Source organism: Homo sapiens, chromosome 20, assembly GCF_000001405.40.
Source record: "Homo sapiens chromosome 20, GRCh38.p14 Primary Assembly".
NCBI lineage: Eukaryota > Metazoa > Chordata > Mammalia > Primates > Hominidae > Homo > Homo sapiens.
The window spans coordinates 32,148,909-32,163,678 of record NC_000020.11 but is presented as its reverse complement, the minus strand read 5'-3'; the positions used below and the strand labels follow the sequence as shown (position 1 = coordinate 32,163,678).

Genomic DNA, 14,770 nt, shown 5'->3' with positions numbered 1-14,770 from the left:
GATCGCACCACTGCACTCCAGCCTGGGCAACAGAGCGAGTCTCCATCTCAAAAAAAAAAAAAAAAAAAAAAATTCCTAGCACAAGACCTAAGCCAGTCTGTCTGAATATGTGATGCTATTGGACCTGGAAAACAGTGAGCACTGGGCATGTCACCCGAGCAGAGCAGCGTGTCTTCACTGGCTGACGTATCATGGTAGACGAAAGACAGTCTTTTAGCTCTAGGGCTGCAAAGCTGGAAAGAGTAGACTCTAGGGCTGCCACTGGCCATCTTTCTACTTTGTGAAAAGATCTTGCCTGCAGACTGAGGCCAAAAAAAGATACACAGGGCTAAGGCGTGGGCACAGAGCCCTGGTATGTATGTGTACATACATACATACATACATATATATATATATATATATATATATATTTTTTTTTTTTTTTTTTTTTTTTGAGATGGAGTCTTGCTCTGTCACCCAGGCTAGAGTGCAGTGGCACGATCTTGGCTCACTGCAACCTCTGCCTCCAGGGTTCAAGCGATTCCCTTGCCTCAGCCTCCTGAGTAGCTGGGACTACAGACGTGCACCACCACGCCCGGCTAATTTTTTGTATCTCAGTAGAGACAGGGTTTCACCATGTTGGCCAGGATGGACTCGATCTCTTGACCCTGTGATCCACCCTCCTCGGCCTCCCGAAGTGCTGGGATTGAGCCCTGATATTTTTGAGACTCTGGATCTAAGCATGGTTGAGGCTAGAACTCCAATTTCTTAGTCTTTCCAGTTATATAAGCAAATACATTCTTTTTGCTTAAGCTACTTTTTTTCCCTTTTTTTTTGCTTAAGCTACTTTGATAGAGTTTTAGTCACTTGCCACTTATGAGAGTTATGATTAATATGGGCTATAGAGGAGGGAGATTAGATTTGTTCTAGATGATCCCAGAATTAAGACTAAGGTCTAAAGATGGAAGTCACAGCAAGGGAGACTGCAGTGTGAATCAAGACCTTGATAATGACAGGAGCTGTCCAGAAAGAATGGGAATGTTAGGAGGGAGTGTCTTCTCTGTTGCTGGATGTAGTAGAGCAGGGGTCTGCAATCTTTTACTTAGAGGGCCAGATTGTAAATATTTTAGTTTCTGCAGGCCATATGGTCCCTGTCGCAACTACTCAACTCTGCCATTGTAGTGTGAAAGCAGCCATGGACAGATATGTTAATGAATGACCATGGCTGTGTTCCAATAAAAATTTATAGAAACAGGCCTGCTGGCCCACGCGGGCTGCAGTTTGCTGACCCCTGAGCTAGAGAATCATCTGTTGAGACTGTTAGAGAAGAGGGGCACAGTCACCAGACTGGAGGTAGGGGTACAGCACTACACTAAATGATCCTTCCAGTCTTTTCCAACTTGACTGTTTTTGGGAAACGGCATTCCCAGCTTCGATCAACTGACCTACAACTCTATTTTGCAAATACGCCTGACTGCCACAGAGGACTGCTTGCTTCTGGGCTCTGGAGACCCAAAGTACAGCAGGTCAGAGTAAGTCTTGAGTATTAGTTTTGGAGGTGAGGGGCCCAACAGGGCTCCTCCAAATTCCTCTCAATGGCTCATCTGGTTTGTGTATCATGAATGAATCTAGTAAAACTGTCGTGGGGACATCTGTATTCTTGCCCACGTCTCTCTCTCGGGACAATGAGCTCTGTGAGTTGCCCTAGTCAGGTAAGCCTGGCTCCCTCTTATTATTGGGCCACACTTTACCTATGTGGGGTCACAGAGTTAGGAGGGCTCCGAGGTGCCTGTGAAAAACTTTCCCATCCTCTCCTTACTCTGCAGGATTGAACAGTACTTGCGTGAAGAAGAGAACACCTGCAGAGACAGGATACCTGCAGCCCTAAATTTGGGTTCTACTATTTAGACTATTTCAGCATTTTGTGCTTTTATCTTTATTAACTCCTTTCTACTTTTCTTCTTTCATGTTACTCTTATCTTTTCCTTTTTCTCAAGGTGTTATTAGTCCCTCTTATTTCCTGTGAAGAGCACTGCAGGTGACATATTGCTTTCAAGTCCTGCTTTGGCTATGGCTATACCTCGTAAGTTTTACAAGCATTATTCACATTGTCACGTATCCTGATGGCCTTTGTCTCCCAAACATACAGAATACAGATTCTTTCTTTCCTAAAAAGATCCATCTTCTAGAGCAGGAACAGTTCTAGGTGGCTTTGGTCCTCCCCATTCTGGGTGGAAAAGGAAGATTCAGGCACTTGGGTTTTTCTCCCAGCATCCTCCTCCTGACCTTCCTACCCTATGAGGACTAAGAGGACCTCCTCAAGGAGGGCAGTACCTTGTTAACGAAATAAAAGATGGCATAAACCAGGACGTAGAATGCAGAGCCCCCGGAGACTAGGAAATTTCTCCACCACCAGCGGTAATCCTGAGGAGGAAACAGAGGAAGGTCAGTGTTGTCCTGGGGCAGAACCCCTTCCTACCAATTTCACAGTTGCTTGAGGGGCTGAAGACTCTGGTAAGAGCAGTAACATATGGGGTGATGGAAATGTTTCACAGCTTGACTGTGATGGTGGTTCCAGAACTGTATGCATTTCTAAAAACCACAGAACTGTGGACAAAGAAGGGTGAACTTTACAGTTTATACCTCATTAAAAAAAAAATCAACAACAAAAAAATAATTAACATTTCTCGAGCAAATGCTTAGCATGTGGCAGGCACTATTCTTTTTTTTTTTTTTTTTTTTTTTTTTTTGAGATGGAGTCTCACTCTGTCGCCCAGGATGGAGTGCAGTGGTGCGATCTCGGCTCACTGCAACCTCCGCCTCCTGGGTTCAAGTGATTCTCCTGCCTCGGCCTCCCAAGTAGCTGGGACTACAGGCACGTGCCACCACACCCGGCTAACTTTTTGTATTTTTAGTAGCGATGGGGTTTCACCATGTTAGCCAGGATGGTCTCGATCTTCTGACCTTGTGATCTGCCCGCCTCAGCCTCTCAAAATGCTGGGATTACAGGCGTGAGCTACCGTGCCTGGCTGGCAAACACCACTCTAAGTGCTATAGATGAATCCACTCATTTAATCCTGAGAGCAGCCCTCCAAGTTAGGTCCTCTCACTCACCCCATCATGTGGAGGAGGAACGGATGGCATGAAGTTAAGCAACCCGCCCAAGACCCAGAGCTACTCATGGAGGAGCCAGGGTCCCAGCCCAGAGGGACTGTTCATCCCAAACCCTGGCTTCACCCACTCTGCCAATGGCCAGTTCCCAGAGGGAGGGCAGGCCACCCAGTGTGCATCAGCCTGTTGAAGAAACTACTACTGGAGTGGACTTGGCACTGGCAAATCTACTGTCCTTTCATCTAGCTGTGGTGAGTACCCCACACAACTAAGCTGGAAGGTATCTCATTAGGCCCAGGGTACAGCTGAATACATGGAGGCTGGGAGAGGCACAGCAACGTACTGGCCCAAGAGCTCAGAGCCAGAAGCAGGGGCCACATGAAGAGCCCAGACCCAGCCTCTCCGCAGAGCCTCATCAACCCGTTCAATGCTGGATCCAGTTCTCCCTCCCCCGCCTCCTGGCCCTGCTCTCCTCACCTCTGCACACAGCTGGAAGTACACCATGACGATGCTGATTTGTGAACAGGATACCACCAGGATGATGAAAACAAGGAACAGGAAGCCAAAGAGGTAATAGAACTGATTCTCCCAGATAGCCTGTGGACACACAGTGGGGCTTCAGCTGGCTTGACCACCCTGCTCCCCTTCCCCTGGCACACCAACCTGTCACAAGGGCAGGAGTGGACACATCATCATGACACCATCAGGGCCCGTGGGCCTGGCATGTGGCTCTGGCCCCTCTTCCCCAGAGCAGGGGGTGAGCCACACTGTCCTTAGGGAGGGGCCAGGGGTTGACTGACCTGCTCTGGGTAGACCCCAGCCTGAACTCAGCAGCTTGTAGAAAATAATGATTCTTATCCAAATCAAAATTATAGAGCAGCCACCACCACTTGAGCAGCTTACCAAGCGCTAGGCCTTATGCCACATGCCTCATATACAATTGCTACATGTGTGTGTCTATGAAAGCTTGGCCTGGTAGAGCTAAGAAAGTCAAGGATCAGAGACGCTGGTGACTGGCCCAGAGTCACACAGATGAAACAGAGGGGGCTTCCCTGGGAAGTGCACATGGGCTTTGGTACCATGGGCAGCCAACACCTCCTCTGACCCTTCTCCCAGGCAAACCTGTGTGGGTGAGGTGGTCTCAGCAGGGAGGGGCTGGGCCACTACTCTGGAATAGCAGATACATGTCCGGTACTGACTTGGTACAAGGTACCATCTGTGCTGGGCCCCGAGCTGGGTCAGCCACACTTACATGCCTCTGAAGGGCCTTCCTACCAACTTTCATCTTGGCACTCTTTGGGAGGAGTCATCATCACCATTACAACAGCATTTCCTGAAGTCAAGCATTTTTACAATGACTTATTCCAACTTCACAATGACCCTGACAAGCAGGAATCATTCTGTCCACCCTCCCAGGAGCTGTGAGTAACACAGAGAGGTAAAGATGTGCAAGGACCCAGAAATGAAACCAGGTGCAACGATGCTATTAGTCATGGTGGGGAATGACTGAAGTATCACTGAGGCAGCTTCTATTTACCAAGTCCCCCTTTCCACACACCAGGCTCCCCACACACCACATATCTCATTTAAATTTTTTTTTTTTTTTTTAGATGGAGTCTCTCTCTGTCACCCAGGCTGGAGTGCAGTGGCGCGATCTTGGCTCACTGCAACCTCCACCTCCCAGGTTCAAGTGATTCTCCTGCCTCAGCCTCCCATGTAGCTGGGACTACAGGCGTGTGCCACCATGCCCGGCTAATTTTTGTATTTTCTAGTAGAGACAGGGTTTCACCATATTGGACAGGCTGGTCTCGAACTCCTGACCTTGTGATCCACCCACCTCGGCCTCCCAAAGTGCTGAAATTACAGGTGTGAGCCACCGCGCCCAGCCTCATTTCACTTTCAATGCTGCCCTGAGAGGGAAGGCTGTTGTCCAATTTCAGGGTGAAGAATGGGGCTCCGAGAGGTGAAGTGGCCCATCTGAACTTTCTCAGGCAGTAGGCAGCAGAGCACCCGAGTGGAGTGGGAGTGACCCGGCTAGCATGGGTGGAGGGGTGGGGGAGGCACCAGTACTCACACTGAAGATGAAGAAGAGCTCGATGAACATGGCGCCGAAGGGCAAGATCCCAGCCATGAGGATGCTGCCACAGAACGAGAGGTTGACATTGTTAGAGACCAGGCCACCAGGAAGCCCCAAGCTCCTTCCCAAGCTGGCATGAAGAGAGAGCACCTACACGAGTGTGGTGGTGCTAATTCTTCTGGCATATTTCTGTACTATTATAATCTCTTGAGAGGTAGGCAGGGTGGGCATTATTCTCCTCATTTTATAGATGGGCAACTGGGGTGCAGAGAGGTGGGGTGACTTGCCCAAGGTCCAAGTGATGGTCTTAACCTGTCTCACTATACCCTTCCATCCTTCCCCTTCCTTGTCCTGGTTCCTAGGATGACACCAAGTCTGCCTACAACCTGGTCACCTTGATCTTGGAGTGAAGTTAAGCTTTCATAAACTCTATTAGAGCCGGCTGAAGCGGCAGGAACTCTGGTTGCCGCACCCTTCTGGTGGCGGAGGGGGGCGTACCCTCTTCCACGTTCCCCTGCTCTTGCCTCTGCTGGAGGACTCACCCCACAAATCGGTTCATGTACCACCGCTGCTCGGGGATCTGCCGGGGAATCTGGTTGGTGCGCACAGGGTTGTCATATGGCTGCTTTCGGAAGCCGAAGTAGTAGCCCAAGTAGACGAGGGGCAGGGAGATCCCGAACCACATGCACAGCAGAGCCACCATGGTGGGAAAGGGCACCTGTAGACATGGCACCATGAGGCCCCCACGAGGCCCTGATGCCCGGGATGGGGGCTGCGCAAGGGGGAGGGGACCTTCTGGGCTCCACAGAAGGAGAGGCGACTTGTGCAGCAGAAGCACACTCCCTGCCCCCACCACAGGGCTCCTGGCCAGAATCTCTTGAGGCTGACCCCAGCCCTGATCTGGACTCCCAGTGAAGAAGGCACCTCAGCATCCCAGAGGAGCTCACCATCCAGGGAGGAAGTAGGGGAGGAACAGGAAGGAGTGGACTGAGAACGTGAAGAGATGAAGAGGTCAAAATGAAGAGATTACATGTGGCACATTATGTGAAGAAAAGAAGGGAAAAAACAACACTGTACAAAGTGCTCCCAATCTTGTCAGAATAAAACTACATGATATACTATTAAGTGTAAAAAGGAGGCTATAAACTATGTGTATAGAAGGATTCCATTTTAATAAAAACACAACATAGTCGGTCCTCTGTATCCATGGGTTCTGCATCTGTGGATTTAATCAACTGCAAACAGAAAATGTTCAGGAAGGCCGGGAGCAGTGGCTCATGCCTGTAATACCAGCAGTTTGGGAGGCTGAGGTGGGCAGATCACTTGAGGTCAGGAGTTCAAGATCAGCCTGGCCAACATGGTAAAACCCAGTCTCTACTAAAATTACAAAAAAAAAATTAGCCGGGCACTGTGGGGGGCACCTGTAATCCCAGTTACTTGGGAGGCTGAGGCAGGAGAATCATTTGAACCTGGGAGGTGGAGGTTGCAGTGAACTGAGACCTTGCCACTCCACTCCAGCCTGGGTGACAGAGTGAGAGAGTGAGACTTCGTCTCAAAAAAAAAAAAAAAGAAAATGTCCAGGAAAAAAAAAAATACAATAAAATAAGCTGGGTACAGTGGCTCACGCCTGTAATCCCAGCACTTTGGGAGGCCTAGGTGGGCAGATCACTTGAGCCCAGGAGTTTGAGACCAGCCTAGGCAACACAGTGAGACTGTATCTCTACAATTTTTTTTTTTAATTGCCGAGTGTGGTGGTGACACCTGTAGTCCCAGCTACTCAGTGGGGCTGAGGTGGGAGGACCACTTGAGCCCGGGAGGCAGAGGTTGCAGTGAGCTGAGACCACAGCACTGCACTCCAGCCTGAGCAACAGAGTGAGACCCTGTCTCAAAACAAACAAACAAAAAATACAACAATACAAATTAAAAAACAATATAGTATAACAACTATTTACATAGCATTTACATTGTATTAGGTATTTTAAGTAATCTAGAGAAGAGTCAGAATATACAGGATGTGTGTACGTAAACACTATGCCACTTTATATATGGGACTCGAGCATCCTTGAATTTTGGTATCTTCAGGGGTCCTGGAACCAATCCCCTATGAATACCAAGGGACAACTGTATCTATTTATATTTGTGCCTGGAAAGGCCTATACCAAAGAGCTAACAATACTTCCTTAGATGGGATATGGGGGATTAGAACTGATTTTTCATTTTCTTCTTTATCCTCTTCTCTACACTTACTTTTTACAAGAATCACATAAAAAGAAATATATATATAAAGTGTTTAGAACAGTATTACTACAAAGCAAGCATCATATAAATGTTTGCTGTTATTTTATAAATTTTAAATTATGTAATTCTTTTGTAAGTATATCTATAAAAAGGAAAAAAGACAACATATATTAAAGACCTACATTGTATTTATCTCTGGGTGAGCAGATTTGGGGTTATTTTAAATTTCTTCTTTAACTTCTCTGCACTTTCCAAAATTTCTACAGTGAATGTTTATAATGAGCAGCTGGTAACTGGGAGGAAAATGCTCAAAGGGAGAAGGAACACAGGGATAAAAAAGGTGAAGTGAGAGGAAGGGCATGACTGTGTCTTGAGGGTGGCTTCCTAAGTTGCTGGGAAAGAAACCCCTCCTCTGTAAGCCTGGACGTGAAGCCTCATGCAAGGACCTTTACCGCCACCCCCAGGTGGAGGGCAGAGGGCTCTACGTGCTAAGGCTAGGATAGCAAAATGCCTGCCACATCTCAACTGCAGTCCTGCTAATTGACCAAGACCCCACTCCCCCTCCCCACAACTGAGTTCAAAATCCTCCTCAGTGAGTCTTGGACAGCTGCTAGTAACACACTGGACTGGGGCTGGCAGGATTCCCAGCTCTAAGGGTAATACAACCTGATCCTTCCTTTCCTCTCTCCTCCACCTGCAGGGGCTGGTGCTGAGGGGCAGGGACACTGAGGAGGACAGGCTTGCTTTGGGATAATGACCTAATAAACTCACACTGGGCAGCTCACTCTTGGTTAAGACAAAGGGAAATTCCCCAGTTGGCCGCTGGACTGTGGAAACCTCCCTTTAGAGAAGTGGGCTTGGGTCAGTTGACTGAAAGATCTCACAGGAAGGCCAGGGCCAGGGCATGACACACCAAGGGCAGGGCTGGGGAAACCCCAGCTGGCCCTCTGCCCTCATGGCTGGGAACGTAACTCTGGGGACTCAGAAAAGGGAAGGGAATGGCAGGAAGTGGCTTTTGGGAGTAGGGCTGAGTGCAACTGGTCCTCGCTTGCTGGGGAGGGGCTGGAAGGGTAGGGGAGGCACTTACCGCTCCTGATGAGTGCTTTCCCCAAATGAAGCAATTCAATACGAAGCAGATGCCAAAAACCACACCAGGGTACAGAGTTGCCGTCTGGAGCAAGAGGGGCCGGGTTGAGGAGCAGCATCCAGGGACCTCCCCTACCTGTCCCGGTGGGGCCCCCAGACCAGAAGCTCTTAAGCCCTCCTTGTCTTTCAGACTCTGCTCAAGCATCATTCCTTCCAGAAAGTATTCCCTGACCCTCAGACTGAGCAGGACTCTGTTCTATGCCCTCTCAGGTCCCTAATACTGCCCCTTCTTGCTCTCATCCCAGTTCGTAATTACATATTTTGGCTACCTGATCAATATCCGCCTATCCCCAAAAGACTGTGAGCTCCTTGGGAGGAGTGTGTCTACCTTGTTCTCTGATGTACTCTCATCACTGAGAACACGGTAACTACTCTGGCCAGGCGTGGTGGCTCATGCCTGCAATCCCAGCACTTTGGGAGGCCGAGGTAGGTGGATCACCTGAGGTCAGGAGTTTGAGACCAGCCTGGCCCACATGGCGAAACTCCGTCTCTACTAAAAATACAAAAAATAGCCGGTGTGGTGGCTCATGCCTGTAGTCTCAGCTACTCGGGAGGCTGAGGCTGGAGAATTGCTTGAACCCGGGAGGCAAAGGTTGCAGTGAGCAGAGATCGTGCCACTGCACTCCAGCCTGCGCGACAGAGCGAGATTCCGTCTCAAAAAAAAGAAAAAAAGAACACGTTAACTACCCAATATATACATATGTAAAAAAATTTTTTTTTTGAGGGGGAGAAAAATTACCTCCAGAATCGCTTGAGCTCAGGTGTTTGAGACCAGCCTGGGCAACATGGTGAAACCCTGTCTTTACAAAAAATTAGCCAGGCGTGGTAGTACGCACCTGTGGTCCCAGCTACTTGGGAGGCTGAAACAGATGGATTGCTTGAGCCCGGGAGGCAGAGGTTGCAGTGAGCCGAGTCATGCCACTGCACTCCAGCCTGGGTAATAGAGCAAGACTCTGTCTCACACACACACAAAAACCCTAAAAAACAACTTTAACAAAACACGTATGTCTGGGCCCCAACCCAAACTGCCTAGAAGGATGGTGAAGCTCTGAGTCTTGGGGTGGCAGATGCTGGGTTCCTATGTACCTTGTCTCACCTAATCCTCACGCAAGTCTGGAAGGAAAGTCTACCATTATTCCTTTTAATGAGGACACTGAGGCCTGGCGATGTTAAAGACAACCCCTCACCACCTCCACGTCACCCAGCCTCCTGAAGGTACAGCAGAGGTATAAACGCAGGCAGTCTGACCCCAGAGCCCATGCTCCTGACCTACTGCAGTGTATTCTTGCCAGTCAGAATCTCTTGGGTGGGGTATAGGCACAGGGATTCTAGTCTAGTCAATGCACCAGAGTTACAGTTGAGACTTTTTCTTCTATTTTCTTCAGAGACAGGGTCTCACTCTGTCACTCAGGCTGGAGTGCAGTGGTGCAATCATAGCTCACCGCAGCCTCAAACTCCTGGGCTCAAGTGATCCTCCCACCTCACCTGCCTGATTAGGAGGACTACAGGCACATGCCACCACATCCAAGTAATTTATTTTTTGTAGAGACAGGGTCTCACTGTGTTGCCCAGGCTGATCTCAAACTCCTGGGCTCAAGTGATCCTCCTGCCTCGGCCTCCCAAAGGACTGGGATTAGAGGCACAAGCCACCACAACCGGCATGAACCTTCTTGCCACACTGATCACCAGGCCAGGGACTGCTGTGGCAGCCTGAGCATCCAGGTGGGTCACTAACCACAATGACGAAGGCCCTCCGGAACCTGATGCTCAAACCTCCATTGCCAGTTTCATCTTTGGCTCACAGCCCTGCACCCAACAACTGGTCACTGTTCCTGCACATTCCTGTCTCTGGGCCTTTTTGCATAGGTCATCAACACCTCAGAGGATCCATTTCCTGAGGGCTAATGCTATACCAAGGTCCTTATGTGCAGTTAACCCTAGCTATCTTCATTGGAGAGATGGGGAAACTGAAGCTCAGAGGGCTGTTGAAAGTTATCAACCAATGCAGAGCCAGACTGGGATCTAGGCCATTCCAGAACCTTAGGCCCCACTGCTGGCTGCGTCCCTTCATCTGAAATCCTCCTCAAGGCCCGGCTCAAAGGTCACTTCCTCCCTTCCTTTGTGTTCCTGCATGACTCTGTTGTGTAGCACAGAATTCCTCATCTGCCTTCCTGGCTGAAATTTACTAACTGGGCACTGTGCTAGGTAGGAAAAAAAGCTCCAGGGAGAAAGGCAGACCCCTATGTAGAGAACAACACACCTGCCCCTACTTAGCTCTGCCAAGTGCTACTTAGGTCTCATGAGGGCTCTGCCAGGCTCGGGGTAGGAGGTGGGGGAGGCGGCAGCCTCTGGAGGACTGATGCAGGAGCTAAGACTTAAAGGATGAGGTGACACCAGCCAGGTGAGAAGAAAGGGTGGTGTGGCCCAGGCAGAGGGGATGGCACAGGCAAGGCCGTAGGAGAGTACACCCACACTGCTGCAGGCTGTTGGAGATGACCCCCTGTGGAAAGGCACCAGGGAAGGGTCAGAATCTTGTAGGGAGACCACAGAGGGCCAAGTGAGAGGCAAAGATGTCTGAATCCTTGAAGATGCAGAGATGGGGGTGGGAGGGGGTGGAATTCACGGAACATTCACAGAACATTTGGTAGGAAGATCCTTAGCACTTGATGTCTGAGAAGGAATGAGGCATGAGGAAGGAGGAGGATAGGCAGCTTCAGGTTTCTGGCTTGGGGGGCCTGGATCAATGATGGGCTCACTAGATGCAAGGGGTGGTTTGGGGGAAAAAGACTGGGTTTGATGTAGGATCCATCGAGGGAAATCCTGGAGGGTATCTGGTGACCTCTCCAGGGAAGAATCTTGCCAGGAGGGAGTGGTGAGTTTTACTCCTCTCTAGATCCCTGGCTCTTGGCATATGGTGGCCAGAGAAAAATGCTCAAATCATCAAGAATTCAGGAAGTTGGCTGGGCGTGGTGGCTCACGCCTATAATCCCAGCACTTTGGGAGGCCGAGGCGGGCGGATCATGAGGTCAGGAGATCGAGACCATCCTGGCTAACATGGTGAAACCCCATCTCTACTAAAAATACAAAAAAAAAAAAAAATTAGCCAGGTGTGGTGGTGGGCACCTGTAGTCCCAGCTACTCGGGAGGTGGAGGCAGGAGAATAGTGTGAACCCAGGAGGCAGAGCTTGCAGTGAGCCAAGATCACACCACTGCACTCCAGCCTGGGCAACAGAGCGAGACTCCGTCTAAAAAAAAAAACAAAAAAACAAAAAAACAAAATTAGCCAGGCATGGTGGCACATGCCTGTAATCCCAGCTACTCGGGAGGCTGAGGCAGGAGAATAACTTGAACCCAGGAGGTGGAGGTTGCAGTGATCCGAGATCGCGCCATTGTACTCCAGCCTGGGCAACAAGAGCAAAACTCCATCTCAAAAACAAACAACAACAATAAAAAAACAAAAAACAATTCAGGAACCTTTCTTTGATCCTCCCAAAATAGTCACGGTCACAACTTTTCTTTACCGAGGGCTTACTTTGTGCCAGAAGCGTCGCAGCCAGAACTGATACAGCCTGAGCTCTCCTTGAGCTTTTGACAGCGGTGAGAATGGCTTCAGAATCCTGGGCCCAGAGACTTCTCTGAGTGTGGGCACCCAAGAGTCTTCCTAGTCCTCTAAGAGACTCACTCGCTCTAGGAGAAGGGGCTCGGGGATCCCTGGGAGGTGAGGTCAATCTCGAGACCCCCTCTGGTTGCTACGCGCTTTTCTGCTGCCAAGAACTCTCCTTACCTCCAGGAGGCCAGAGAAGGGCAGCAATCCTCACCAAAGAGAAATGCAGGCACCAGCCTGGAAAATGGGCTGACAGGAACTTGGGTCTGGCCTCTTCAGGCTTAGGCAGGCAATTCCCTCTTTACTCAGGGTGTTCTCTCAGCTGCCCTGCTATTCTAAATCTTGTTATTCTGAATCCCCTATTTCTTCTCTTGCTTGAGCCATCAGACAATGTCAGCTAAAAATGACCTAAGTTCAAATCCCTCATTTTACAAATGGGGCAGTGGAGGCCCTGGGAGGTTCTGCTGCGAGCCTGTGGGTAACAGCCTGGGATTCCTGCCCTTGGACCTGTGCTGCTCCTGCTATGTCTTGCTGCTGCTCAGCTTCTGGCCCAAAAATCCCCACCAGGACCTGCCTACCTTCTCCTGAGGAGCCCAGGAAGAAGCTTCTCTGCTTCCCACCAAACAAGAGAAGGTTTAGGACACTCACACAGAAGGCTCCTTTCTTCCACCGATGGCCTTTTAAAGTGCGGTACAGACGGCCAGCAGAAAATCCGCCAAACACCCTGTGGGAAAATGGCAGGGATCCACACCAAGGGGACCCATTAGCTGGTGTGGAGGAGGCCTGTGCCGCCCCCGGGAGCCCACTCAGACACACCTACCCCATGAACATGAAGAGGAAGCAGGCTGTGGTCATGAGAGCTCCCCGGCTGGAGGGCGACAGCATCCCAAGCATGGCTACAACTGTGGAGGGAGGGAGGGAGGAAGGGCAGAGAAAGGCAGGGTGGCTGATCACCAGGCCTCTAGCCCCAGCCCCAGCCCCAGGCCCACCTTGGACAGGCTGACAGGAGGACTCTGGGCAGATGAGGCTCCCCCTCCCTTGTCTTCTCAACAGCATAGTCCCCTACCCTCTACAGGGGAAGACTGGGTCTTAGTTGGGGTTCGGAGGGGTGCAGCAGCTGCTGGGCCTTGGCTGGCCAAATCTCAACCGCAGCTTTCGGTCCACAGAGCACTTGCAGTGAGTCAGGTGCTGGGCTGAGGGCACCACAAATGCCAGGTCTCTGAATCCACCTTACCAACTCTGCAGGGTGATTACTTTCCCTATTTTTCAGATAAGGAAACGGAGGCTCACAGAGGTCAAGTGGCCTGTCCAAGGTCACAAAGCTTGGAGGCATGAGGCTGAGATGTAAATCTAGGCAGACTGACTCCAAAGCTGTCTAAAATTACTATATATTAGTGGGGTTTTTGTTAAAGAAAAAAATATTTGATTTCAATCCTAATCCTGGTACTGACTTTGGGCAGGTCACTTGGCCTCTGACTACAAAAGGAGGCCAAGCTCACAGCAATGATGTGTTGCCTCATTGATGGAGGAGACATGGTGGGCTCTGTAAATGGCTGTGAGGTGAATCACCAGTCCTGGGCTGGGGCTGGGGCTGTTGCTGAGATAGACGGCCTGTCTGGCCCAGAGATACTGACATGCCCACTTGGTGCCAGGAGCTTGGTTCCCTTTCTCCAGGGAGGGAAGCCCACCCTTCTCTCCTTGAGGCACCTGGAAGAGGAAGCCATGCCCCCATGCCCGGCCCCGCTGGGCACACTCACAGATGACGATGAGGATCATACAGAACAGCTGAATGCCTGAGCCCAGCAGGGAGCTGAGGATCATGGGGTACTGGGGGGGCCTGAAGACGTCGCCGTGCACCAACTTCCACCCAGACTCCTCCATGGTGTCTTCCTGCAGCGAAGGGCCAGAGTGAGGCTGGTTGTTGAAGATGGAGGCAGCTCTTGCAGGGACCACCCCCAAGGTGACAGCTGACACCCTCAGGTGCCAACCAGCGCTGCTCTGACACAGGAGTGTAAGTGATAGGAGAAAGTGCTTATCTGAAACTGTCACAAGAAAAGGAGGCCACAAACCTGATGCCTGTAGATGCGTAAAAGGAAAATCTCTTTAAATTCCACAAACCTCGTTTGTGGGAAAATAATGTAAATACCTCAACTCACTAAAATGTCAACTGTAAGAGTTCTTGGGTGGTGAGATTTGGAGTCAATTTATTTATTTTTTCTGATTATGAAAGAAATATGCATTCTTACTTGTGTAATAAAAAAAGTAAAAATAATTTGGTATGTAGCATGAAATTCAAATGAACAAAAAGTAATACATGTTTATTACAGAAAAATTTAAACAGAACGATATAAAAATAAAATGATTTGATACTCCCACTTAATAACACTGTTTTGATATAATTCCTTTAACCTTTTATGTATATATGTGTATATGTATGCTTTAAACAATAACATTGGGATCACACTATGTACTTTGTTATTTTCAGTTGGTATTTGTGAACATTTCTTCAGGTCAATAAAAGCTTGACATTGTATTTCAAAGCTGTAATATTTCTGGCTGGGCGCGGTGGCTCACGCCTGTAATCCCAGCACTTTGGGAGGCCGAGGCGGGCGGAT

The 14,770-nt window shown here is 49.6% G+C and overlaps 1 protein-coding gene across 5 annotated transcripts in view, besides 4 other annotated features; it reads right to left on the bottom strand.

Moving 5' to 3' along the window:
- The window catches only part of TM9SF4 (transmembrane 9 superfamily member 4), a 57,543-nt gene that overhangs the window by 3,578 nt on the left and 39,195 nt on the right, over positions 1-14,770 (bottom strand). For 3 of the 5 annotated variants that reach the window (NM_001363731.2, NM_014742.4, XM_017028156.2), the window contains 8 exons: positions 13,913-14,045; positions 12,976-13,057; positions 12,804-12,879; positions 8,493-8,576; positions 5,710-5,885; positions 5,165-5,228; positions 3,568-3,687; positions 2,314-2,403 (listed from right to left, as the gene is read on the bottom strand). In NM_001363731.2, the coding sequence (NP_001350660.1) occupies positions 2,314-2,403; positions 3,568-3,687; positions 5,165-5,228; positions 5,710-5,885; positions 8,493-8,576; positions 12,804-12,879; positions 12,976-13,057; positions 13,913-14,045 (825 nt within the window). The remainder of the gene's footprint in view (positions 1-2,313; positions 2,404-3,567; positions 3,688-5,164; positions 5,229-5,709; positions 5,886-8,492; positions 8,577-12,803; positions 12,880-12,975; positions 13,058-13,912; positions 14,046-14,770) is intronic. The other 2 variants (XM_017028155.2, XM_017028154.2) reach the window with 1 other exon arrangement.
- Positions 3,394-4,285: an enhancer, noted in NCBI's record as "H3K27ac-H3K4me1 hESC enhancer chr20:30747197-30748088 (GRCh37/hg19 assembly coordinates)". NCBI's record gives its function as "activates a minimal SCP1, AML or CMV promoter by ChIP-STARR-seq in naive and primed H9 embryonic stem cells {active_cell/tissue: H9 hESC(naive and primed)}" and the evidence as "EXISTENCE:reporter gene assay evidence [ECO:0000049][PMID:30033119]".
- Positions 10,539-10,833: a silencer, noted in NCBI's record as "tiled region #10464; K562 Repressive non-DNase unmatched - State 17:Gen3'". NCBI's record gives its function as "represses a minimal TATA promoter and a strong SV40 promoter by Sharpr-MPRA in K562 cells {active_cell/tissue: K562}" and the evidence as "EXISTENCE:reporter gene assay evidence [ECO:0000049][PMID:27701403]".
- Positions 10,539-10,833: an enhancer, noted in NCBI's record as "tiled region #10464; HepG2 Activating DNase matched - State 5:Enh". NCBI's record gives its function as "activates a minimal TATA promoter and a strong SV40 promoter by Sharpr-MPRA in HepG2 cells {active_cell/tissue: HepG2}" and the evidence as "EXISTENCE:reporter gene assay evidence [ECO:0000049][PMID:27701403]".
- Positions 13,558-14,449: an enhancer, noted in NCBI's record as "H3K27ac-H3K4me1 hESC enhancer chr20:30737033-30737924 (GRCh37/hg19 assembly coordinates)". NCBI's record gives its function as "activates a minimal SCP1, AML or CMV promoter by ChIP-STARR-seq in naive H9 embryonic stem cells {active_cell/tissue: H9 hESC(naive)}" and the evidence as "EXISTENCE:reporter gene assay evidence [ECO:0000049][PMID:30033119]".